Source organism: Homo sapiens, chromosome 14, assembly GCF_000001405.40.
Source record: "Homo sapiens chromosome 14, GRCh38.p14 Primary Assembly".
Classification (NCBI taxonomy): domain Eukaryota; kingdom Metazoa; phylum Chordata; class Mammalia; order Primates; family Hominidae; genus Homo; species Homo sapiens.
The window spans coordinates 89794320-89820881 of record NC_000014.9 but is presented as its reverse complement, the minus strand read 5'-3'; the positions used below and the strand labels follow the sequence as shown (position 1 = coordinate 89820881).

The 26562-nt window shown below is 40.3% G+C and overlaps 1 protein-coding gene across 3 annotated transcripts in view; it reads left to right on the top strand.

Annotated features, from left to right (window-relative positions):
- Positions 1-26213, top strand: part of EFCAB11 (EF-hand calcium binding domain 11) — a 160109-nt gene extending 133896 nt beyond the window's left edge. For all 3 annotated transcript variants that reach the window (NM_001284267.2, NM_145231.4, NM_001284269.2), the window contains exon 6: positions 23558-26213. In NM_001284267.2, coding sequence (NP_001271196.1) covers positions 23558-23639 — 82 coding nt within the window. In that variant the 3' untranslated portion in view covers positions 23640-26213. The remainder of the gene's footprint in view (positions 1-23557) is intronic.
- The last annotated feature ends 349 nt before the right edge of the window (positions 26214-26562 follow it).

Genomic DNA, 26562 nt, shown 5'->3' with positions numbered 1-26562 from the left:
AATATCTAAAAATCTAAAAATTACCTTCATAGCAATGTCTAGACTGGTATTTGATCAAACAACTGGGCATCATAGCCTAGCCAAGGTAACACATAAAATTAACCATCATACATCTATTACTCATTTTTATACCCCTAAAACTTTGAGTACTGCATAGGAATTAAGGAATAGCAAATAAGAGGCTGCAGTTTGGGAATAAGGAAATAATGTTTAAATAAGGCTGCAAGTAGAGGTTACTGTAGCTCCTGAGAGACTTTGTGAAGGAGTTAACTGTATTATGTGGGCCGAGTGGGAGTCTTCTAACGTTTTGATGAGGGAAATATGTGATGTCGCCTGTCTAGATGGCAGTGTAGGGACTGAAATCTAGTGTGCAGCACTGAGATGGTAGCTAGGGGAGGAATGAGAAGGACCTGAGTGAGACAGTGTCCAGGGAAAGGCCAACGGTGAGAGTGGTGGGGGCGGTGGAATGGAGAAGAGTGGAAGGAGAGAGGAAAAAGGCAAATGATGAATATTTTGCTGGGGAATTCAGCATTTAAATTTCCTTAAGTTTCTTTGTCTCTTTGGTGGCAGGACTTCCCAACTCCTTTGGAGAGAGCTTTAGAAAGATGTTATTAAACCTCTAAAAAACAAGCATGCTATTCTTTGTGAATAAAGAAAAAAAATCGACAGCTCTGCACTTAAACACCTGTAATCCCTTTCTTTACTATGACAACTGTTAGGTTTTTCTATAGCCTCTTCCAGTCTTTAGCCTTATGTAATCCTAGGCTTTTGTATAGCTGTAATAATATTGTATATGTGGTTTTGTGTCCTACTATGAGGAAGTTTATGTCTATGTGGTCTTTATATGTATTATGTTTAATAACAGAAAAGCTTTATGGTAAATTGATGAGCCATAGTTTACTGAGTCATATTCCTATTGTTGGATTGGGATTTCCTAACAGATTTTTACCATTGTAAAAGATAATGGTATAAATGATTTTTTATCTAAATTATTTTTTACATTTTTATTGTGATATAACTGATGTGTAATAAACTACATATATTTAATAATTTAACATACTTGAATAATTTTTGGTATGTATACACATGAAATATCACTACAGTCAAATATTGAAGATAGCCATCACCATTAAAAGTTTCTTTGGGGCTGGGCACAGTAGCTCATGCCTGTCATTTCAGCACTTTGGGAGATCAAGGCAGGAGGATTGCTTGAGGCCAGGACTTCAAGACCAGCCTGGGCAACACAGCAAGACCCCATCTCTAAAGAAATGGGTTTTTTTTATAATTAGCTGGACATGGTGGCATGTCCCTGTAGTCCCCTGTAGTCCCAGCTACTCTGGAGGCTGACCAGGGAGGATCACTTGAACCCAGGAGTTTTAGGCTGTAGTGAGCTGTGACCATGCAACTGCACTCCAGCCTAGGTGACAAAGTGAGACCTTGCCTGGAGGAAGAAAAAAAAGATAGAAAGTTTCTTTGTATCCCTTTGCAGTTGCTCCCACCCTCCTACCCCTTCCCACCTCCCTGTTCCCCCTTCCCTCTTCTCAGATAACCACTGAACAGCTTTCTGACACTGCACATTAGTTTTCATTTTCTACAATATTATATAAATGGAATCATATAATATGTACTTGTTTTGGTCTGGCTTCTTTGACCCTGTGTAATTATTTTGAGATTTATCCATGGGATACCATGTATCAACAGTTCATTCCTTTTCCATTGCTGAGTACATTGTAACAATGTACCATGTTGATGGGCGTTGGGTTTGTTTCCAGTTTGGGGGCATTAAACAAATAAAGCAGCTGTGAACATTGGTGTGCAAGTCTGAATGGATATGTGCTTTCTTTTCCCTTGGATACGTAGCTAGGGGTGGAATGGCTGGACCGTGTGGTAGATGTATTATATGTCTAGTTTTTTTACAAAACTGCCTAATTTTTCCGAAGTGGCTGTACCTGTTTTCATTTCTACCAGCAGTGAATGAGAATTCCAGGTGCTCTGCATCCTCACTAACACTCGATCTTTGTAAATTTAGCCATTTTTATAGGCATGTAGTGGTATCTCTCACTGTTGTTTCAGTCAGTATTTTTGTAATGACTAATGACGTTGAATATCTTTTCATGTGCGTATTTTCCATCATATCTTCTTTAGTGAAGTATCTGTTCAAATCTCTCACCTATTTTTTACGTGGTATTTGCTTTATTATTGAGTTTTGAGAGTTCTTTATGTATTGCTTTATCAGGTATGTACTTTGCAAAGATTTTTCTTCTAGGCTGTAGCTTGTCTGTTCATTGCCTTACCTGTGTTTGTTGAAGAGCAGAAATTTTTAAAATATATTTTCTTTGGATACATTTTCAGAAATAAGATTAATGGGTCAAAAACCTAATCTTTTCTTCTTTCCTTCTTCCCTCCCTTCCTCCCTCCTTCCTTCCCTTCTTCTCCCTACGTCCTCTTTCCCTCTTGCTTCTTTCTTTTGTAGTTCTACTTACTTGTTGTCTGTCTTCCAAAGAATTTGAAACACTATCACTGAATCATAGTATGTTGTTCCCTGGAGGCTTGCCAACTCTGGTCTTTCTCACTTGTCTTTACTTGCTATTTTGGTGAGTGTAAAGTGCGACATTACAGTTATATTTCACTTCACTTACCTGGCAAGTTGAACATTTACTTAAATTTGGTATTTAAAATATTTTTCCTTCTGTAACTTTTAACCATTTGTCATTGGTAATTTTGAATTATTGTTATAGAGTTATAAGAGCTTTTCATGTATTGTAGATGTCAACATTTACATATAATATTTATCACAATTTCATATCCATATTTACCTTTTATCTTGGTTTACTCCCTACCCCAACTGCAATTTTTTATTTTTATTTATTTATTTATTTATTTATTTTGAGACAGAGTCTCACTCTGTCACCCAGGCTGGAGTACGGTGGCGTGATCTTGGCTCACTGCAACCTCTGCCTCCCAGGTTCAAGTGATTCTCCTGCCACAGCATCCTGAGTAGCTGGGACTCCAGGCACCTTCCACAACACCCGGCTGATTTTTGTATTTTTAGTAGAGACGGGGTTTCGCCATGTTGGCCAGGCTGGTCTCGAATTCCTGACCTCAAGTGACCCACCTGCCTCAGCCTCCCAAAGTGCTGGGATTACAAGCGTGAGCCACCGCGCCTGGCCTTGCAACTGCATTTTACTTGTAATTTTCTCGTGTGTTTTAAATAGTGAATCTAAATACCTACCTGGGATAAATATATTATTATTTTCGTCTACCTTTGGGAAATTGTATGTTAAATTTTTCTTTACAATGTATTTATTCTGTTTTATGGTATAAAGTAAGCATCTAAGTTTATATTTATAATTTTTTTTTAAGAAGGAGTCTCAGCTCTATCACCCAGGCTAGAATGCAGTGGTACGATCATAGCTCACTGTTATCCAGAACTCCTGGGCTCAAGTGATCCTCCTATCTCAGCCTTCTGAATAGCTAGGACTACAGGTACATGCCTAGCTAATTTTTTTATTTTTTATTTTTTGTAGAGACAGGGTCTCACTGTGTTGCCCAGTTTTTGGCTGGTCTCGAACTCCTGACCTCAAGTGGTTCTCCCCCCTTGGCCTCCCAAAGCACTGGGGTTACAGGTGTTAGTCAGTGCTCCTATTTCTTTTAATGTGGGTTGCTTTTTGATACATTCTGATCTCTCTTAAGTTGCCCCTTATTGTCCCAGTTAATGTCTGATATGAACTTCAGAATTTTTACATAATAAAATATCCTATTATTATTTTATTTAGAAATGTATTAAATCTACAAATTACCTTGAAGTATTGCCTATTTTCATTTTTTCTTTTATAAAATATTTATACTTTTATTATTGGACTGATATATTCTACCTTGGTTTAATTACCAAGTAGGTACTCAATAAATGTGTATTAAATACAGATATATTTTTTCCTTGTTATAAGAGAAATCTAATTTTGAAACAAAAAGTTTGATAGTTGTTGTTGAAAAGCAATGTTATTATTTTTAGAGCATGTTTTATATGATAATTATCCTTGCATTATTTTACTTCTAAAATTCTTAGTAGAGCCCTTTGAGTTTTCTGGGTTACATAATCGCAGCTGTAGCAATTAATGATGTTTCTTTCCTATTAATTTTTCTTTTTTGTTTTTCTTGCCTTTTCACCGTGGCAAGACCCTCTTCTAGTTTACTAAATAAAATGTAAAATAAAGAGTATCTCTGTTTTGAGTTTGCTTTAGGAAACATGCCACTAATATCTGTATCTCCACTAAGGGTTTTGCTTTGTTTAGTTTTCAGAAGTTAAAGATTAGGAATGTATGCTTTATTTTATAAAATTCCCTTTTAAGCCTTTTAACATACAAGTAATGGTGAGGGCCAGCAAAGTGTGCTAGGAGTGAATTAACTGTATTATGAGAAGAACATATTTCTTTTATGGTTACTTTGCATGTTAGTTCACAAATTTTTAATCTTTTGCTCTAATGTTTCAAAGACTTTCTTTTTAAGGAAATGTTGGTACTTTGTCATGTTCCTAAAGGAAAAAGTCAAATTATCCTTGTTTGCTGACAACATATTTAGAAAAACCTACAGACTCCACCAAAAAACTATTAGAACTGATAAATGAATTAAGTAAAGTTATATGATACAAAATCAACTTACAGAAATCAGTACCATTTATATATGCCAACAGTGAACAAACTGAAAGGAAATCAAGGAAGCAACTCCATTTATAATAGCTACCAAAAAAAATATAAAATACCTAGGAAGAAATGTAACCAAAGAAATAAAAAATCTCTATAAGGAAAACTATAAAACACTGATAAGCGAAATTGAAGAGGACACACAAAAAATAGATACCCCATGCTCATGGATTGGAAGGATTAATATTGTGAAAATGTCAGTACCACCCAAAGCTATCTACAGATTCAATGTAATGCCTACCACAATACCAATGACATTATTCACAAAAATAGGAAAAAATGCTAAAATTCTTTTCTTCTTAATTTTTATTTTTCCAGTTGAACCCGAGAAATGAGTCAAAACCCTAATCTTTAGGATGTTCCAGAAGTACTCACTTTCTTCCATCAGTTTATTTCCTCACCATTGCCCAAAACTCAAATTTACAGCAATCTATATAGTACTAATTAGAAAGGATTTCGGCCGGGCGCGATGACTCACGCCTGTAATCCCAGCACTTTGGGAGGCCGAGGCGGGTGGATTATGAGGTCAGGAGTTCGAGACCATCCTGGCCAACATGGTGAAACCCCGTCTCTACTGAAAATACAAAAATTAGCCAGCGTGGTGGCGCGCGCCTGTAATCCCAGCTACTCAAGAGGCTGAGGCAGGAAAATTGCTTGAACCTGGGAGGCGGAGGTTGCAGTGAGCCGAGATCACACCACTGCACTCCAGCCTGGGCGACAGAACAAGATTCCGTCTTGGAAAAAAAAAAAGGATTTCATAATGAAATTCCTTTAATTATGATACCAGTGCTCCTATTAAAATCAGGTTTTGTGAAAGACTTTTTTCTTAAGCCCAACCCAGCCTCCGTGGGGGGAAATCCTAACTAAGAACTTAAACAAATTTTTCACATGTACACTTATGACAACATTTTTGAAACACTAATATTTTGAAAAGTTTTTGTGCCTTCTTTTCCCACCCCCAAATTGTGGGGACGTTCTCTTGGGCTATTCTGCAGGGCTCTGGGGAGGATGTTCATTGTGATGTCATAATTGCCGCATATTCCAGGGACAGATCTTCACGTCTTATTCAGCCCCTAATTCTGCGTGACTGTGAAAAGTTTAAGCTAACTGCACACCAAAGTCATCCTAATCCTACAGTTTATCCCATATTCCCACATAAGCTGGAAATGATCAAGCAGTTGAAATGGGGAGTCCCAATGTCTTGTTCTTGGTACTGCTTGCAGTGTGTACACAGCTTTGAGTTGGCAGTGTATTACAAATTGGCGTTCCTTTCTTTGTCCAATGGGACCAGCCTGGGTTTTTGGCAAAGACCCTCAAAATCTCCGAAAGCCCAGAGTTATTAGCTGGGCATAGGACTGTGCCATGAATCCAGAGACCTGCTCTGCTATGCTAGGTAGGAAAGCAGCTTCGTGCATCTGAGCCTCCATTTTCCCATCTGTAAAATGAAAGAGTGGGGCTGGGTGATTTTTTTTTTTTTGAAAGGGAGTTTCGCTCTTGTTGCCCAGGCTGGAGTGCAATGGCGTGATCTCAGCTCACCACAACCTCCACCTCCCAGGTTCAAGCGATTCTCCTGCCTCAGCCTCCCGAGTAGCTGGGATTACAGGCATGCACCACCACGCCAGGCTAATTTTGTATTTTTAGTAGAGACGGCATTTCTCCATGTTGGTCAGGCTGCTCTCGAACTCCCAACCTCAGGTGATCTGCCCGCCTCGCCCTCCCAAAGTGCTGGGATTACAGGCATGAGCCACTGCTCCCGGCCTGCTGGGTGATTTTTAAAGTCCCTTGAAGGAAAAATGACTACGTGTCGTTGTTCTGGGGAGAGGCTTGGACTCTGGAAGCATGGTGGGCAGGTCAGTAGAGCCCTTTGTCCCAGCGGACCAGACCGTGTGTTGCTGGCAGGCGGCAGGTCTGAAGCCCTCACCACAGATCCCTTCAGCGAGGGACAGAAAAGCAAAGGGGGAAGAAAAGAAGACATGAAAAGTTCTCACTTCAGGACATTTGTTCTGTACAGTGCTCTAGAGGTTGTAGCGCTGAACACCAAGTTCAGAGTTATTTTATACCTGTGGTTCGATTCAAAGTGGAAAAAAAAAAAAAGGTTAGTTTTTTTTTTCTCCCCCCAGGGAGCTATTTTCAGTAAAACTTCCATATGGGGATATATTTATTACTAAAGAGTGTCAAACGAGTCAAATAGTCAGACCATGTAGTCACTGAAAGAGAGCAGCAGCCGAGGAATGCGCGCAGACACCGGGCACCCTGGAACTGCATTCCTTCTCCGCAGAAGTCAAGCACGGTTGTTTCTCTAAAAGTTCTGCCCGTAACATCTTTTCTTTCATTCCTTTCTTATAAACTCACATTATGTAAACTCTCGAAGTGTGAAATGGTTTTCCTTGGTTGGCCATCACTCACAAAATGATTTTATCAAACATGAATTTTCCCTCAGCTATCAGCTGCACGCAATGGGAAACTCACAAAATAGAGAAGTGGTTGTGTGCTGAGCACATAGGCATTTTATAGCGGGTGGAGGGTAGAAGGTGGGGCAGGGGGTGGGAGGTGGACGGTTGGGAGGAGATCTGGCTGAAGTAACAAATGCTCCTCATAGAATATGTTGGAAATAGAGAAAGGTCTGAAGAAAGAAAAACAAAACAAAACAAAACAAAAAAACAAACCAAACAACCATATTCATACCAAACCAAAGATAATTATCATTAATATTTTGGTATTGATTCTTCCCTGTTTCTCTCTGTTTTTGTTAAGATGAGTGTGAGTTTTATATACCATGCTTTTCAATCATTTTGCCATTTTCCTTTATAAATAACCCTACAATAAACAAATTTGTCTTCACTTTTATCTTCTTAGGAGCTGTTCCTAGATATCAAGGTATCGTATCAGAGAGTATGAAGTTATTTTATCATTTTTACAGCTCCTGGTTCTTCTTACCCAATTGCCTAATAAACAAATTCTGCTCCCCTCACTGTATATGCCCTTCTCGTCCTGTTCTCACCAATGACCGAGTATTATTTTTCAAATGTTTACGAATCTAATAGGTGGAAAGAGTATCTTATTTTTTTATTTCTCCAATTGCTAATAACTTTGAACATTTTTACATGTTTATTAGCCTTTTCTGTTCTCTTTTCTGTGAATTATCTATTCATACCATTTGCCCATTTTCTCTTCTATAGTGAAAACATTTACTTGTTTCTATTTTTATTACAACTGTTTTTCCAGCTTATTGTTTTCTTTTATTATAATTTTTGATGTGCAAAGATTTTAAGTTTTCATGTATTCAAATCTCTGATCTTTTCCTTCACAATTTCTTCAATTGCTTTTGTACTAAGAAAATTTTCCTTGCTTCCATATTCTTGGTTGGTTTGAATTTTAGGACAATCTAACATGTTAACGAATTTGGAACTTATTTTGGTATATAGCATGGGGTGATGATCTAAGCATTTTTGTTTCTAAATAGCCAGTTTTTCCATGATCCTTTGTTAAGTAATCCCCATTTATATATAATGCCTTTATCACTTTGTGCTGTACTGATTCCTTTTACATACAAGGTGACCTTTCCAGGACATTTATCCTATTCCCTTGGTCAGCTTATTCTTACTCCAGGGACACACCTTTCCGCCCCTAGTTCTGACAATATGTTCTAAAACCTGGTGTTTCTTGTTGTCAAATTTGTTCTCAGCTCTTCTTGCCTGTTTATTTTCCAGATGAATGGTAAAATCATTTTTGTGAAGTTCCAAGAACTCCCTTTGGGGTTTTGATGAAAATTGCATTCAGCCTATAAATTAATTGGGAAGGATCTGGCATCTTTACAATGTTCAGTCTTCCCATCCAGGAATACACACGTGGCTTGTCCCTGCACATTTTCAAATATCCTTTTATATGTCTCGAAGGAATTCTGTAGTTTTCTTTATATAAATTCAACACATTTCTTATTAAGGTATTTCTAGTTATTTCATATTTTGGGTACTTTTTAAAAATGGAATCTTTTCCCCCTTTAGTTTAGATCACTATTTTTAATATCACTTTTTCCCCACGGATTGCCAAATTCTGACAGAAATCTAAGTGAAAAGCATATTTGTTCCTTTCCAGGCTTATAAGCTCAGAGATTTAGAACTGGAACCAACCTTAAATCTATTTTCTTTTTATATATGATAACACTGAAGTCACGAAAGGTAAAATAAAGATCATATTACTCATTAAGAGAGTGGCTGTAGATGAATAATACTTCCAATGTCCATGTTCTTTGTGTCAAAGACTTGTAAAACTTAAATATCCGAAACTAAATTCATGATCATCTCCTTTGTATTAGATTCCTATTGCCACAATAACAAGTTGCCACCGACTTGGTGGCTTTAAACAACACAAATTTATCATCTTACATTTCTGGAGGCCAAAATCCAAAATGGCCATCATTGGGCTAAAATCCAGGTGTCAGCAGGGCCACATTCCTGCTGGAGGCTCAAGGGGAGAAGCCATGTCTACTGTTTCCAGCTTCCAGAGGCCCCTGCCTTCCTTGGTTCATGGCTTTTTCTCCATCAACAAAGCTGGCAGTTTAGCGTCTTCACATCTCTCTGGCTCCTCTGATTCTTGTACGCCCTCTCCTGCTTTTAAAGTCCCCTAAGATTACATTGGCCCCACCTTGATAACCTAGGATAATCTCCCCATGTTAGAGTCAGCAACCTTAATTCTGTCTGCAACCCTAATTTTCCTTCCCCACATAATACAACATATTCACAGGTGCTGGGGATAGCACATGGATACCTTTGGGGCGGGGTGTTATTAAGCAAAGATAAACTTCCAAAATTTATATCAAGCACATCGGCCCCCTTCTTGAAGCACTTTGATGACTTCCCATCGCTCTTTGCATCACGACCAAGGTCCTTACATAGACTTCCAGGACCTGAATAGTTCCAGCCCATGCATCCCAGAGCCTCATTTGGCTCCATGCTCATCCTCACTCTGTGCCTGGTTACATTTGCCTTCTTTCAGTTCCTTGAATGTACCTTGCTCTGTCCTGCCACAAGGACCTTGCACATGCTGTTCCCTCTGCTTGGAGAACTCTTCCCCACCTGCACCTCTCTTATTAGCTCCATGCTTCTCAGATTTCAGCCAGGTCCTGCTTCCCTGACCTGCTGCCCAGTTCTCGCCCCTATGTCCCACCCTCTCCTAGAACCTTCTGTCACTCCTTCAGGGCACTTAGTACACTGGTAATATTATTTTGCTTGTATTAATAGAATTATTTAATTTTGCTTATAGAATTCTCTCCCAGGATTGGATAAAAGCTCAAAGGGACTCTTGTCTTTTCTGCTCACCCATTTATCTTCAGAACCTACTGTGCGTGGACCATAGTGGGCTCTTAGTGTTTGCCTGGTGAATGAGTAACTGGACTCAGGAATCCATTTCTTTTTTTTTTTTTTTTTGAGACGGAGTCTCACTTTGTCACCCAGGCTGGAGTGCAGTGGCGCAATCTCAGCTCACTGCAACCTTTGCCTGTCGAGTTCAAGTGATTCTCCTGCCTCAGCCTCCTAAGTAGCTGGGATTACAGGTGCCCGCCACCATACCTGGCTAATTTTTGTATTTTTAGTAGAGATGGGGTTTTACCATGTTGGCCAGGCTGGTCTCAAACTCCTGACCTCAGGTGATCCACCCACCTCTGCATAGTTACTCAATGTGTTCAGTGATACATTTATAAAAGTGAAAAGACTGGATTGGCTCCAAAGTCCAACAAAAAATAATTTATTATAAGTCCATTTGATAAAATTGCATATGGCCATTAAAAATGAAAATTATAAAGACTATAACAATGGGGAGAAACATCTGTTTTACATTTAAATAGCAGGATCCAAATGTTCTTATGCTGACGGAAGGAAAAGTGCCAACATTTTCACAGCAATTGGTGTAAGATCATAGGGTGGTGAGTTCTTTCTCCCGTCTCCAAACTCTCCCACTCACATGCTCGTATGTTCAGCCGATACTTATTGAACACCACTGTGTGCCAGACACTGTGCCAAATACTGGGAACAGCACAGTGAACACGATATAGGTGGCCTCTGCCCACTGCAAGTTCATAGGCAGGTGAGGAGGAACACTAATCACAGTCATATTGATGGTCCAGCATTCATGGGCTGCAGCTGTATTCAAGAAAACATGGGTTCCTTCACCATAGTGTGTACCATAGGCTACAGAAAATACTTCTAAAATCCGGGTCATCATTATTAGGGTCCTAAAATTTTAAATTGTGGGGGGAAATTGTAGGGTTAATATACCTGTTTCCTTTAGTCTTTAGGCCTTGAAGGAGATTTTCTAAATTGTCTCTGCAGTCTTTAATCACTGTTTATCCTCTTTTAAAGAGGTGGTCATTGGGACGCCATTGACGGGGGGAGGGAGGTAGAACCCTTTCCCTGCCCAATTCATTCTCTTTCTCAGACATTTGGAGGTTCCCCGGCCCCCACTTCTAAGAACTAAAAATGCCGAGTTGTCTCCAACATAAATTCACTTAGTTTTGTCTTCTTACACTTCTGCACTTGGTGACTGTGCGTCTGTGCTTGAGCATAATGTAAATACTTAATTTGTTTAATAAATATCCTGAAATAGCCTCTTTGAGTTGTTACTAGAAGGGCACGAACCTTTTAAGTCACTTAGCCAGCACAGATCAACACTTAATGTCTTTAATGATGAGCGTGATCTTTTTTAGTGGCTGAAATGCTCCGTAATCAATGATGTGGCCCTGCCTGGAGGCAGGAGAAACTAGATAATGGGCAGAAAATGTCTTGCTGGATTGGGCCAGTAATTTGAATCCCTGAAATTGGTATTAGTGTGGCAATTTATGGGAGAGCAGTTTCTTCCCAAGGGTAGGGAGAGCTCCCCAACATCCTAATGTCCCTTAGTGATTTACGCATTATTGAAATCCCTCGTGGCCAGTGTCTGTTCCTGGCCTGAAACCTCTGAGGACTCTTTGCCTCCCCAACTCACTAAGGCAAATGGCACACCAGTTTCAGCACAACGGTCACCTGTCTTGGGAGTAATGCTTAGTGCTGGGCAGAGGGAGAGAGGTGGACAGGGTCGGGGAATGAGGATGTCATATGCAATTTGTAAGACCTCCCTCACGGTATGTTCCTTTTTCTTCTCCCATCTCCATACCAACTTTGAGAATTAATGCAGGGATAGAAAACAAATTCTAACTGTTAGCTGAAGAAGCACTTCCAGGTTTGAGTCCTCAAATGTCCCCTCTGAACTTTCACTTGGAGTCCCTGAGTTTTAATCCTAGGATTTGATTGATTTGCCCATATTCACACTCCTCATGCATTTCATAATTTTCTAAATGCTTGTATATGGCCCTCTGAACCTTTATCTCTTTAGACTGAAATTCTCTTGTTAAAAGCCCTTTTGGTCATTCCATTTGGTGTGACTTTTTTATTGTGAGTGGACTCCATTAATAGAGTGTTTTTGATAATTTGAGGGAATTGTTTCATTATCAAATGTTATTCATTTTTTATGTCATGTATTATTGTCCACAGACCCAGAGGTTTTAAATGCTAGGAGCATGTTGTAAATGAAAACATAAATAATTTATTATAGTCATGCTGAACTAAGGCCAAATTTCCTAGTGGCTCAGTGATGCACATCGCATCAATGAGAAATGGGCTGAGATGTAAAATCTTATTTTCCCAAATGGATTATTGAAAATTAAAGTACAAGCTGTTAAAAGCAAATCTTAATTTTTATATAAGTTCCTGCACTCTCATTTAATGGAAAAAAAAATCTATCTTCACAGAATTTTAAAGTAATTTTTCTATAACCAAGATCTATACAGTAAATTACTCACTTACTGGTGAGTATTTGCTAACACTGTATGAGAATATCCTTCAGGATCTGGCCATGTCACAGCCCCTAGGGTGATTATAAGGTCCTATACAGGCCTTAGAAATATTACGCTTTTAATTAGATGGAGCAATGGCTAGTCTTCGTTCCTATATCATTATATTATTAACATTCATTGCCAGGACTCCCGGTTGCATCTCATTGCAAGGGAGGCTGGGAAATGTAGTCTAGCTGTGTTCCCCGGAAGAGAGGGAAGTAAATTTTGTTGAACACAAAGCAGGCTCTACCATGGAGTCAAACTCCACCCATCCCCAGATGGATAGCCAATTATCCCGGCTTCTTTTCCTGCCAACCTATTCCATCCCCACTCGTTTGAATTGCCTCATTTGATTTTTGCAGAATTCCTATATATACATATTTCTGGACATTATTCTTATTGATTCCTGAGTAATAATCATACTCTTTTAATTACCGAATTGAGGATTTATCTTTTGTTTTGATAACATTGTTTTTAAAAATATTTTGAATTTTATGGCATATTTATTTTCCCAGATAAACTTTTGATTTATCAAATTTCCCAAAGAAAGTAAACAAAAAACTCTACAGTCCTTCTATCATGTATTATTAAAAATATATCCCACTCAAAATATTATACTATTAAAATAAGCATTATTTGACAACTGGTATTTTCTGACTCTGAGGAAGTATGCTTTTTAAAAGGCAAGCTTCCGTCTAAACAATGGCTAACAATGTAATTAGGAGGGCATTTACAAATGGCTTGATATTTATAGTTCACATTTCAACTTCAACTCTATTTGTTGCATTAGCAAAATGAAACTCATTAAGCCTTATTCTTTTAGTCCATCTCTCCAAGCTTCTGAACCCACTAATACTCAGCTTTCTTGTATGGAAATATGTAATCTTTCCTACATTACACTTGAAAGTTCAGCTCATTCCTAAACCTCCAGTCAAGGAGATGAACTTGTTGCTTTCAGAGAGGCCACATCTGTGCACTGAGCCATTATGCCATCTGTTAAAGTGGTCAGAGTTCATTTTATTGCCTCCTTTGTGGAAGGACTTGTACTGTAAAAAGCCTGTGTTATTGAAAACATAATTTTCTTCATCATTATGCTTTCTTTCTAGCCAGATCATAACCTGCTAGAAATCTATTGAGCATAGAGGGAAAAGCTCTTCAGAATAGCTGTTCTTAAGAGATTAAATGATTGCCATCTCTGTCCCATTTCTTTTATCTCATAATCAAGTTCAAGATGATACTGGGTATCTCAGCTGAAGTGATTATATATTTGAAATAGAAATGGCTTTCTCTCCATTCATATTTCATATTGTTGATGGTAGGATCTTTTTTCTTTATATTTATATATGCTTATGTTTCCTTATAAATGTCCACGGGGTCAAAGGTTCAAACTACTTTTTTTTAAAAGGCTAAACATGGCTAACAGGAGTTGGGTTACATTTTCCAATTTTCTGCATACAAAGATACTAGTTGTATAACTAAGATCTGGCTTAGATTCATCAAAATTGAGAACTGAACCAAATCTTAGCAATCATCTAGCCTAGCCATTCAGCTTGACAAGTGAGGAGCTTCAAAGTCATAGCAGTTGAGAAACTTGCCCAGGGCTTGGCAGCAGCCTAGCTGAGCAGAGAGCTCGCTCCTGGGGGGTTTCTGCTGGACCACACTGTCTCCCTGCCATATTCAGAGTGGGCCTGTGGTAGTTGCATATTTACGGCATGGGGGGAAGAATGGAAGATCTTAGTGACTCAGAAGTGTAGGAAACAGATTTGTTATGATTAGTTCAAAGATGTTCACTTTGACTTTTGTACTTTATCCTGAAAACTGTCTGATCTGTGCTGTTTTCTTACATTGTCATTTCTCTTCCAGAGAATCAAAGTTAGAAACACGATCATATCCCTGTTTATTAGCAGCTCTGTTAAAGCACTTGATAGAGAAGGAATATCAAATTATTTCCTGGAAATATAGCCCAGGGCCTTGGGCTATATGTTGATTGCATTTATCCACATGTCTACAAGTAGTCAATAATCCGAAATGACATACTGAAATTATATTTTCTTCCTTTTAAAATATGTCTAGCTGTCAATGAGATTCCTCATTCTTAAAATTTAGTAAATAGGAAAAAGTGAGTCATTATTTATGGTTAGTCACTTTGGTAAGCTGTGACTGTATTTTACATCCATTTTTCCTTTTTTCTTGGACTGGAGAATTTATTCCGTCACTTGTTAGGGAAAATATATATTAGTTCCCTCAATAGCCTCTTCAGTGCATTAAGAATCACAAGGCACCATAAACAGAACTTTCTGTTGGATACAGCAAGCAAGTTACTCTTTAGATTGCAGAGCTGAGGAGAATAATCCAGAATCTTGAGCTAGCATCCGAGGAGAAATCTAAATTATTTATGGTTTCTTTAAAATGGAATAATCATTTCAAAAATACTATGTTCATTGAGTATCTGCTGTCTGTCCATCAAGTTCCAAATACTGCAAGGTTTGGAAAAGATTTCAGACAGAATCCTTTGTATGTCAGGATGCTTTCATTTCCAAGTAGCAGAAAATCCATTTCAGACTGCCTTAAACAACACAGGGAATTTATTGGGTCAGTGACTAAGAGTCTTGACATAGGGGAGGCTTCAGGCATGGTTTGTTTAGGCTCCAGCTCACTGTGCTGTTCTCTGACTCTTTCCCTCATTGTATATAGCTCCAGTCTCAAGCTGGTAATTAACACTTAAAAGCCTGTGCACAAATTATCGAATCAATGTACCATTGGAGCATAGAACTGTTGTGGAAATTGCACCCTTATGGTAGGAAAAGGCTGTTGGAATAGCAAGCCTCACCTCTGCATCTCAGATGTCCACATTGAAAGAGCTTCTCAACTTGCAAGCAAAATTCCTAGACTTCATTATGTTTGTACCAATTCTTTACCAACCAGTAGTAGCCAGGGGAGGAATGACATGTGTTAACTGGCTTAAGCCAGTCAATCCTTGAGCCAGTCACTGTGGTAAGGAGAGTGGGATTACAGTCATTGGTTAAGGCCAGTGAGCTCCCACTTCTAGAGCTTGGGGTGGGGGTCTGTTCCCCCACAATCACACAGCTGCTACATGGCACAGAGCAGGTAAGATGGAAGTTGGGGAAGACGCAAACAATGTCCATGGAATTGTTAGGCTAGTAGGCTGAGCCGAGTGCTAATGAGGCCACTGTTTTGCCTGGCTTATGTCGTTCTTTATTCCTGGCCTGATCTGGACATTCTCTTACCCTTCACAGTTCATCCTAAACAGCCAGGTCCACCACTTGCTTATGGTCAGATGATAACTATACCTCTGCATCCAAAAGGACCCTGTAAGAATCTTATATTCAGGGATACCTTGTCCTCACTCTGAAGGAGCACTTAAAGTCCAATAATACTATTTACTATTAATGGACTAAATATTATTAATAAGACATGTATATTAGACAGTAAAAAGAAGACTGCTGCAGTGTTTTTTTTCTGGTTAACCCTGGCATTTTAATTGCTTGGAACTTCAAACTTCAGAGCTCTTCTTAAAGGCAATATTTAATTTCCTCCCAAAAAAAGCATTTTGCAAGTAGAGGAATAGTCTGATCTCTTTGAAGTAGTGAGATCTCTTTTACTTGAGTGAGAATCTGATATGACGTGCTATTGCTGATGGCAATTTAAATGCTCTGTGTGAAGTTTCATCTCTCAAAATAAACTTTCCATTGTGTCTTAACCTGGGTTCTTCTTGAAAGCAGAGCCTGATGGGGGCTTGTGTACAGGTTGTTGTGAAACAGAGAATGAGGGAATGCAAGTGTCTGTCACCAAGCTCATTACTACTATGAGCGATTGGAGCTTGATCCCACCAGAACCTCTGATGAGCCAAGAGAATGACCTCAGAGTTGTCTACGTAAAGCTTGGTATTTTCCTGCCATAAGGATGCAGTCTTCACAACAGTCCTGTGCTCCTTTGGTACATTGATTCAATAATTCGTGCACAGGCTTTTAAGCGTTAATTACCAGCCTGAGACTGGAGCCGTGCAAAATGAAGGAAAGAGAGAACAGCAGAGTGAGCTGGAGTGTAAACTGGTCAAGGGGTTCTACCTGCTCTGTGCATGAAGAAGGCCTTAACACTCCTTTTCATGCTTCCACGTTTGGGGGGTAGGGGGTGCCACCCCAGGTGTCAGAGCAGTCCCAAACAGCAAAAGATACTGCTACTGGCTCGGGTGAGGCTTTCCCAGCAATGGCTGGAGTCAAAGGAGGTTGCATAGCGTGGGACGGGCACAAAGGGACCCCAGTACACACCGAAGAGAATGCAGCACATCTGCCAAAGTCATGTTGGAGCCTAGAAAAGACCAGAAATCATCTGCATATCTCTTTAGTCTTTCCTGTATATCCGAATGGCTTTTCTTAACACATGTCTTTAAAAAGGTAAAATTAATAAACACATTACCAGCTGAATTGCTGTAGAGCCCTGCAGGACTCTCATCAACAAAGAGGCAAGCACGCCAGTGGGAAGAAGCAGCGGGCTCCTCAGAAGAGAAGGCTGCTTGCGGGAGAGGCTGTCATCATTACATCTTCAATTGGCGGGTCTTCTCATCCCCAGCAGGGGCTCCTTGCTTGGAGGGTAATTTTTACTTTCACTGTTCAGTCAGTATGACAGCTTTGTCCCTAATGTAGTGGCAGTTTTGACTTTGGTTTAAATTATTCCATAAAGAATCAAAGAGAAAAAGCTGCTCTCTCCCTTTTCCCCCACCCCAAAAATTCCACTAAGAAAACTTTTCTCACTTAAATCTTGGCCTCCACATTAAATTTCTCATTCACATTTCAGGTGCATCAAATATGGCATCAACTTTCAAAATCTCATGTGATTATCACAGTGACTCAAAATAATTACTATCTGTCAGTGCGTTTGTTGGGAACACAGATATGTCTGGCACACGCCCTATTACCACCAGCAAGAGTTTGCCTCTCCAGTGGGGTCTTCTCTGGGCTCATTTCAAAACCTTAGAGTGTTGGGACAATCATCTGCATGATCTGAGAAACATGTGCCTCAGCTGACCCTGAAATCATTTTCTTTTTAAAGAAAAAGTCTTTAAAGCAATTATATTAGTAAGTGTAGATTTAGCTGGAATGTTCAAAAGGATTGCCTTAAACTGTGATTCCTCTGGCTCAATGGTTGTCAACTGGGGTGATTGTGTCCCCCAAGGGACACTTGGCAATTTCTGGAGACATTTTTGGCTGTCACGATTGGGCATGAGGGGTGGGAGAGGGTCCTACCAACATCTAGCAGGTGGAGGCCAGGGATGCTGCCAAACGTCCTGCAATGCCCAGGACAGCCCCCTCTCTGCTATATCAGAGCATTGTCTGGTCCAAAATATCAATCGTGCTGATGTTGAGAAGCCCAGCGCTAGCTGTTGTGGATTTATACAATTTGAAATAAGGCCAATTGTTTGGAAAATTCAGACTAAATTGAAAGAAAATATTTTTTCAGTTGAAAAAGATATAAGTAATATTAAGGAATATCTTAAGACAGAATTACCCAAAACCCTACCATCTTCATAAGACAAGTTTCTGCGTAGCATATAACCTTCAGCTTCTGCCCAAAAGAATATAAATGTTTATAAAATTGCAATTATGGGTCCGACCGCAGTGGCTCACGCCTATAATCCCAGCACTATGGGAGGCCAAGGCAGGAGGATCATTTGAGGTGAGGAGTTTGAGACCAGCCTGGTCAGCATGGCGAAACCCCATCTCTACTAAAACTACAAAAAATTAGCCGGACTTGGTGGCGCATGCCTGTAATCCCAGCTACTCGGGAGGCTGAGGCAGGAGAATCACTTGATTCTGGGAGGCAGAGGTTGCAGTGAGCCAAGATCATACCATTGCACTCCAGCCTGAGTGACAGAGCAAGACTCTGTCTCTAAATAAATTAATTAATTAATTAAAATTAAAATTAAAAAACGAAAACATTGCAATGATGATGCGATACCATTCTGTATTCTTGCTCCCACTTAAAAATATCACTTTCATAGTCTTTATGTCATTTTAATAGAAAAGATTCCATCGTTTCAATGTAGTAAAATTTAAACCATTTCCTTTTTCTTTCTTTTTTTTTTTTTTTTTAAGTAACTTGGGTAAAAGCAAGTACTCTAGTCTGAAGCCTGGCTTTGGAGACTTAGACATGGGGTACTCCTGAATAATTTTACAAGAAAAATGATTTTCCAAGAAATAACCACTTTCAGAACATTCTAAGAAATTGTTATGATGTCAACATTTTCATACAAGAAACATTTACTCCTTGTGAGAAACATTGACTATTTACATTTTTTTTTTTTTTGAGACAGAGTCTCGCACTATCGCCTGGGCTGGAGTGCAGTAGTGCGATCTCAGCTCACTGCAACCTCCAGCTCCTGGCTTCAACCAGTTCTTCTGCCTCAGCCTCCCCAGTAGCTGGGATTATAGGTGTGCGTCACCATGCCCGGCTAATTTTTGTATTTTTAGTAGAGACGGGGTTTCACCATGTTGCCCAGGCTGGTCTTGAACTCCTGACCTCCAGTGATCCACCTGCCGCGGCCTCCCAAAATGCTGGGATTACAGTGTGCACCACTGCGCCTGGCCTATAACCACTTTTTAATACAATGAATCAAAATATTTTTACTTTTACAAATTTGAAAACTGTTGGAATTCAACTGAATGGACTGAGTCCAGTTCTGCAAATTTGGAATGTATCCTGTGTCATCTGAGGTCTTCCTGTACTTTGAAGTCCATAGAGTATTGCCTGGAACCTCCATTCTACACCTGGGGGATTATGAAGCACTTCCCAAGATTCTTGCAAATTCCTAGCAGGCTTATGGCTCTGAGTTCTCATTTCTCTGAGAGAATTCAGTGGATGGATCATCCTGCCTTTCCCTTCTTGCTTTTCCTGCTCTCTGCTGCACGTTCAGACAGAGCTCATCTCCTGACTCAATCTTCAGCCCCTGACTCAACACTGACACCCCAAAGTCACCATCCCCCACAGTGTGTGTGTGCCTGGCACTCCCTTGGTGAAGATAGGGGAGAGGTTAGAACAGGTAATACAAACAGTTTGGAAGTACATAGGAAACGTAACAGTCAATTGAAGGACTTTTGATCATCGCATCATTGGGGAATTTCATGACTGTTCTTATATGGCATCTCCCTGTGCCTGTACCCTCTCTTGTCTTGGCTTGTCATCTCCTTCCTCCCAGATGGCCCTAAATTGTTCATACCAAGTAATACAGAGCAGTACTTCTTTTTTTTTTTTTTTTTTTCTTTTTTGAGGTGGGATCTGGCTCTGTCACCCAGGCTGGAGTGTGAACTCAGCTCACTGCAGCCTCCGTCTCCCAGGCTCAAGTGATTCTCCTGCCTCAGCCTCCCGAGTAGCTGGGATTACAGGCACATGCCACCACGCCTGTCTAATTTTTGCCTTTTTAATAGAGATGGGGTTTCACCATGTTGGCCAGGCTGGTCTCGAACTCCTGACCTCAAGTGATCCACCCACCTCAGCTTCCCAAAGTGCTGGGATTACAGGTGTGAGCCACCACACCCAGCCCAGTTCTGCTCTCTTGAGTCTCTACTCCCAAAATCAATTCCAGGTCTCCCTTTTGCATCTCAAAAACAAACACACCAAAAAAGCCTTTAATTTCATTGGGCCTACATTTCTAGAAGCAGTTGTTGTTAGTTAATTATCCTCTTTTACATCTGCATAAACTTTAATTCCTTTGAAAAGCCATTTCTGAGATAGTCTGTATATGTGTCTATACCTACGTCCCTGTGTCTGGTAAAAGGGGAGCTGCTTAACTGGATTGAAGTGGGTGGTCTTTGACTATGGGTTAGACCATGTGTACCCAGTGTTCTGCATTGGTTCACAATTTCCTGCTTCTTAACTCTAAATTGTTCAGCCTGACATTCAGGGGGTTCCCTCGCTCCACTGCCCCATGTTTTGAGCCTCATTTTCCACAGCTTGTCTCTCATGTGGTCTCCTCTGTACCTAGTCTATGTTTTGCAAAATGTGGTTGAGCATGGAAACTGTAATCGACTTACTTACGGGTCCCTGAATGATGGGTCTAAGGTGTTTCTCAGGCGTGCGTTTGTTTGTTTGTTTGTTTGTTTGTTTGTTTGTTTACGAGATTGAGTTTTGCTCTTTTCGCCCAGGCTGGAGTGCAGTGGCCCGATCTTGGCTCACTGCAACCTCTGCCTCCCGGGTTCAAGCAATTCTTCTGCCTCAGCCTCCCAAGTAGCTGGGATTACAGGCACCTGCCACCATGCCTGGCTAATTATTGTATTTTTAGTAGAGATTGGGTTTCACCACATTGGCCAGGCTAGTCTCGAACTCCTGACCTCAGGTGATCCACCCGCCTGGGCCTCCCAAAGTGCTGGGATTACAAGCATGAGCCACCACGCCCAGCCACAAGCGTTTTTAGACTCGGTAAAACAATGAGGTGATAGTTTCTTTCTTTAATTCCCTAGTACCTCCTGGGAGGTAATAGATTTTCTATAATATTATCAGCTGTTTCCTCAGATTCATTTGTTCCACAAATTCATTCATTCGACATTCATCCTCTGCTGTGGGGCAAGAAGTGGGGCCACAGCAGCAAAGAAGACAAAGGTCTTGCCCTCCTAAAGTTTCTTTCGAGTCAGGGTTGGGGGGTGGGAGGTGCTGAATTTTTTAGTGCTGAGGGTTTGTTGATGACACCAAAACAATGCATTCTAGTTTCAAAACTAGAGCAAACTCACGTTAGGGTTGAATGCTGTAACAGAAACAAGAGGGCTTTTTAACCTGATGACATTTCCTTCCTCTCCTCAGCCAGTCACTAATTCTACCCACGGTACATCTTCTCTGTCACAGTGATTTGAGTGTGGGTGCTATGAGACCTTCCTTCTTCAGAATAATTCTGTCTGCAATGAAAAACAGTATTTGTTAGCTTTTAAAATGATAGCTCTGAACTTGAATTTCCTCTGCACTCTCCGTGAGATGACCAGACCTGCTTGTATATATGCGATGACGACGAAAAGTCAGAAGACATTAAGTATTTCAGCATGTCTCATTTGAAATATGAATTTAAAATGATGATGCCCTGCCATTCATTATGTGAATAAAATGCCACCCCACACGTTATGAATAAACTTTCCAGTTTTAACAGTGCTTGGTTTTACTATACTCATTTTATGATGGAAAGCTCTAGCAAAGGCAGCAAGAAAAATTAGGAGTTAATACAATAACAGGCGGGGTACAATGGCTCATGCCTATAATCCCAGCACTTTGGGAGGCCGAGGCAGGGGGATGGCTTGAGCTCAGGAGTTCGAGACCAGCCTCGCCAACATAGTGAAACCCCATCTTTACCAAAAAAATACAAAAATTAGCCAGGCGTGGTACTGGGTGCCTGTAGTCTTAGCTACTCAGGAGGCTGAGGTGGGAAGATTGCTTGAGCCGGAGAGGCGGAGGTCGCAGTGAGCCAAGATCACACTGCTGCACTCCAGCCTGGGTGACAGAGTGAGACTCCATCTCAAAAAACAAAAAGTTAATACAATAACAATGAGGTCGTTTACTGAGAAAGTCAGGCAAAGGGATTTGCTTCTCTACAAGCATTCAGCATCTCAATAAGTGAATAAGCACACTCGCACACACACAAAATATTATCAGAAGCAGTTTATTCTAAACATTATTTTTCTAGGTTATTCACTTAACTCACCCTCTGAGATTTATAGTTCAACCATACCAGTTCAGAGTGGAAAGAAAAAAGGCCGTTTATCTAATCCAATTCCTTGGGAAAAAATACTTAGGCAATATTAAGAATCCTCAATTATCTAATTTAATAAAAGGGATGATTTATATTCTGTAGTTAGTAACGTGATACTGATTATTTCTAATCCCTTAGAAGAGATCTGACACTATGCTTTTGGTCCTGTGTAGCATGAAATCATCATGTATATTTTACCAAAAGAAGTAACAAGAATAATGGCCTCTGCAGTCTGCAATCATTTTATATGAACACACTGCAACATGGTTTTGCCCTGGGGCAGAGAAGTAGGGATTTTTCTCTACTTCAAAAGAATGAAAAATTATCATCACTCTATCCAGAACCATTATAGACTTCAGAGACTTTGGCATGAAATATTCAGAAAGTTTATTTTAGAATTCAATATTTTAAAAGCCTGCTTTAAAACTATTACAGTGATTAGTGGCTCTCTTGCTTGGGCCAGTCTTTGCTTTAAAAAGTCCTATGTCATGGTTGATACGAATTTGATGTTTGAACAAAATATAATTGGCATCAACTGCAGAAGCTACTTGTAAGGCATTGTTTTAGAATGCCCCCAAAGAGGAGTTGGGACCACTACTCACCAGTTATGCTTTCAAACACACTTTTTTTTTTCTTAATTGAGATGGAGTCTTGCTCTGTCACCCAGGCTGGAGTGCAGTGGCGTGATCTCGGCTCACTGCAACCTCTGCCTCCTGGGTTCAAGTGATTCTCCTGCCTCAGCCTCCCAAGTAGCTGGGATTACAGGGGCCCACCACCATGCCTGGCTAATTTTTTGTATTTTTAGTAGAGACAAGGTTTCACCATGTTGGCCTGGCTGGTCTAGAACTCCTGACCTCAGGTGATCCACCCACCTTGGCCTCCCAAAGTGCTGGGATTACAGGTGTGAGCCACTGCATCTGGCCTGCATATGTTTTTGACATATCACAGAAAGACATGTGTAAGATAATTAGAAAGAGCCGTTTCTTTTTTTCTTATATAATCTGTGTATTTGGCTTCATCTCTTTAAATATGTGGAATATATTATTTCTGTAAGTTTTAATAAATACCCTTTCTTTCCTGCAAACCTTTATTATCAATGAAAAAACAGGCATCAATCTCAGCCTTCAAGTAGATAAAATAGGTTCCTCTCTCACACAGACATGCAAATAAATAAAGATTCTAATGTGCTCTCGGTGCATAGGTGTTAACGAGAATAATGTGTAAATGACTTTTTGTTTCATTTTCCAGGGAAGTAGATCGAGATTCAGATGGTCACGTCAGCTTTAGAGACTTTGAATATGCCCTGAACTATGGACAGAAGGAAGCCTAACTATTGTGAACTACTTTTGGTAACTCTGGGGAGATCAATAGATTGTAATGTCAGCAGACTCGACTCTACTAATGATGTCATGCTACAGACTTGTGATTAAACATTTAAAAATTTTTAATTTTTGTGGGTACATAGTAGGTGCATATGTATACATACACACACATATATGGGTTACGGGAGATATTTTGGCACAGGCATGCAATAAGTAATTGACTAAATTTTTAATCATAATTTTTGGATGCTGATGATAGACTTGCATCTCAGAATCCTAGAGATGGTTGCTGCCGGGGGTCTCCTTCTGTGTGGCCAGCAGCCCTGAGTCAGGCCGCCATTGCTAGAGCTGGGGCTAGGGATGGCACTGGTGGTCCTCCTCCTCCTCACTCTTCTTGCCCCCTACCCTCTCCACACTGCAGGCCACGGTGCTCTACTCACTCACTTCATTGTCCTCACCATCCCACCCTGAATCTCATCATCTCCTAATATCTGCAGAGGGGCAGACTTTTCCTGCCAATGGTGCCAGTTTCCTTCATTTGCTCAACATTGGTTGAACAAATAATAGCACCTACACATACAGAATACTTACTATGTTCCAAGCAATCAGCCAGGCCTTGGGAAGCATAGGCTTAAGACTTCTCTAAGATAGGCTCATGCCTACAATCCCAGCACTTTGGGAGGCCAAAGCAGGAGGATCACTTGAGCCTAGGAATTGGAGACTAGCCTGGGCAACATACCGAGACCCCATCCCTACCAAAAAATTAATAATAAAAAATTATCTGGATTTAGTGGTGTGTACCTGTAGTCCCAGCTACTTGGGAGGCTGAGGTGGAAGGATCATTTGAGCCCAGGGGTTTGAAGCTTCAGTGAGCCATGATTGCACTGTCGCACTCCAGCCTGGATGATAGAGCAAGACCCTGTCTCTAAAAAAACACTTTCAATTAAAAAAAAACATATAAAGACTTCTCTAAGATAATGTCCCTGAGTCCAAATCATCACTGTAAAGTGGTCCCAGGGCACTGTCTGTGCAAGACAAAGAAATCGGCTTGGGCTAACATGAGCAAGCCCTCTCGGGCTATATACAGAGGAAGAACAGGGTGATGAGGGTACTGGGGGCAAGAGACATGTTTGCAGAACCCTTTAGGATGGTCTAGGCTTGGGAGTCTCACTGTGGAGAAGCAAGCCTTGAGCTGCTCAGCTGCCCTCTGCTCCATACCCCCTGGTTTCTAGCAGTCACGTCCTGCACCCAGACACTTAGCCATGTGTGTTCACGTTCCCCATGCCTTGCCTGTCCTGCTGGGCTCCAGTAACTGCTATACTGGAGCAAGAACAGCAATGCTGGACACTCAGCATTTAGTGAAGGTAATTCCAAAATACTGGTATCAGTACTCTTATTTATAAGTGTACGGAATGCATAACATGAACATTAGTCAAAGAACTTTTAATATAATTCACTTTTTAAGTGTTAAAATTTAAAGGTCAAGTAAAATTGTAAATTTGTAATATGGAAACATTAAGCGTCATTATCATACAAATTATTAGCAGATAACCTTAATAAAAATAAACGTTTGCGGGTTTTTTTTGAGACAGAGTCTCACTTTGTCACCTAAGCTGGAGTACAGTGCGCGATCTCGGCTCACTGCAACTTCCGCCTCCTGGGATCAAGTGATTCTCCTGCCTTAGCCTCCTGAGTATCTGGGTTTACAGGTGTGTACCGCCACACCCGGCTAATTTTTAGTAGAGAAGGGGTTTCACCATGTTGGCCAGGCTGGTCTTGAACTCCTGACCTCAAGTGATCCGTCTGCCTCGGCCTCCCAAAGTGCTGGGATTACAGGCGTGAGCCACCATGCCTGGCCAATAAAAATAAAGTTTTAAACTGTCAAATAAGAGGAGCCTAACAAGATGTGACAACTAAATGTCATTTGGTATCCTGGATGAGATCACGGAATAAAAAATAAACATTGGCCGGACACAGTGACTCAGCCTGTAATCCCAGCACTTCGGGAGGCCGAGGCGGGTGGATCACGAGGTCGGGAGATCGAGACCATCCTGGCTAACACGGTGAAACCCCGTCTCTACTAAAAATACAAAAAACAAAAAAAGATTAGCTGGGCGTGGTGGCAGGTGCCTGTAGTCCCAGCTGCTCGGGAGGCTGAGGCAGGAGAATAGCATGAACCTGGGAGGCAGAGCTTGCAGTGAGCTGAAATGGTGCCACTGCACTCCAGTCTGGGCAACAGAGCGAGACTCCCTCTCAAAAAAAAAAAAAAAAAAAAAAAAAAAGACATTAAGTAGAAACAAATCAAGCATGGACTTTAGCTAATAATAATGTATCACTATTGGTTCATTAATTGTAACAAATGTATCCTACTCATATATAATGTTAATAGTAGGGGAAACTGGGTGAGGTATATGGGAACCCTCTACTATTTTCACAATTTTTCTATAAATCTAAAACTATTCTAAAATTAAAAATTCATTTAAAAAATAAAGTCTTATTCAAAACCTGTTAAACTAAACTTTATCTAAAATGAAGAAAACATTGAAAATCAAGTAAAAATAAAATCTTATTTCAAATACAAAGCGGATCAATGGTATCATTGAGTAGCTTTTGTGTTTATGTACGAATTGTTCCAGTTGATGAAAAGTTGATGAATTGTTCCTTTCTGATTTTGGGTAGAGTTTTGTTCAGCAAGTATTTTCATCATAAGTTGAATAATTGAGTTGTTGATTCCTGATCTCAGAACATAAATGATGCATACTTCAGATTTTTTAAAATATCAAAATTGGAGTAATACATGAACAAAGTGGCATTATTCAGAATTTCCAGAAAGCCATAACCTCCTATTGCAGTCACTATTCGGACCTCATTTCTCCCAGGAAACATGACAAGGGAAAGGGAGGGGTCATTTCCTACAGTTGATGCGGCAGG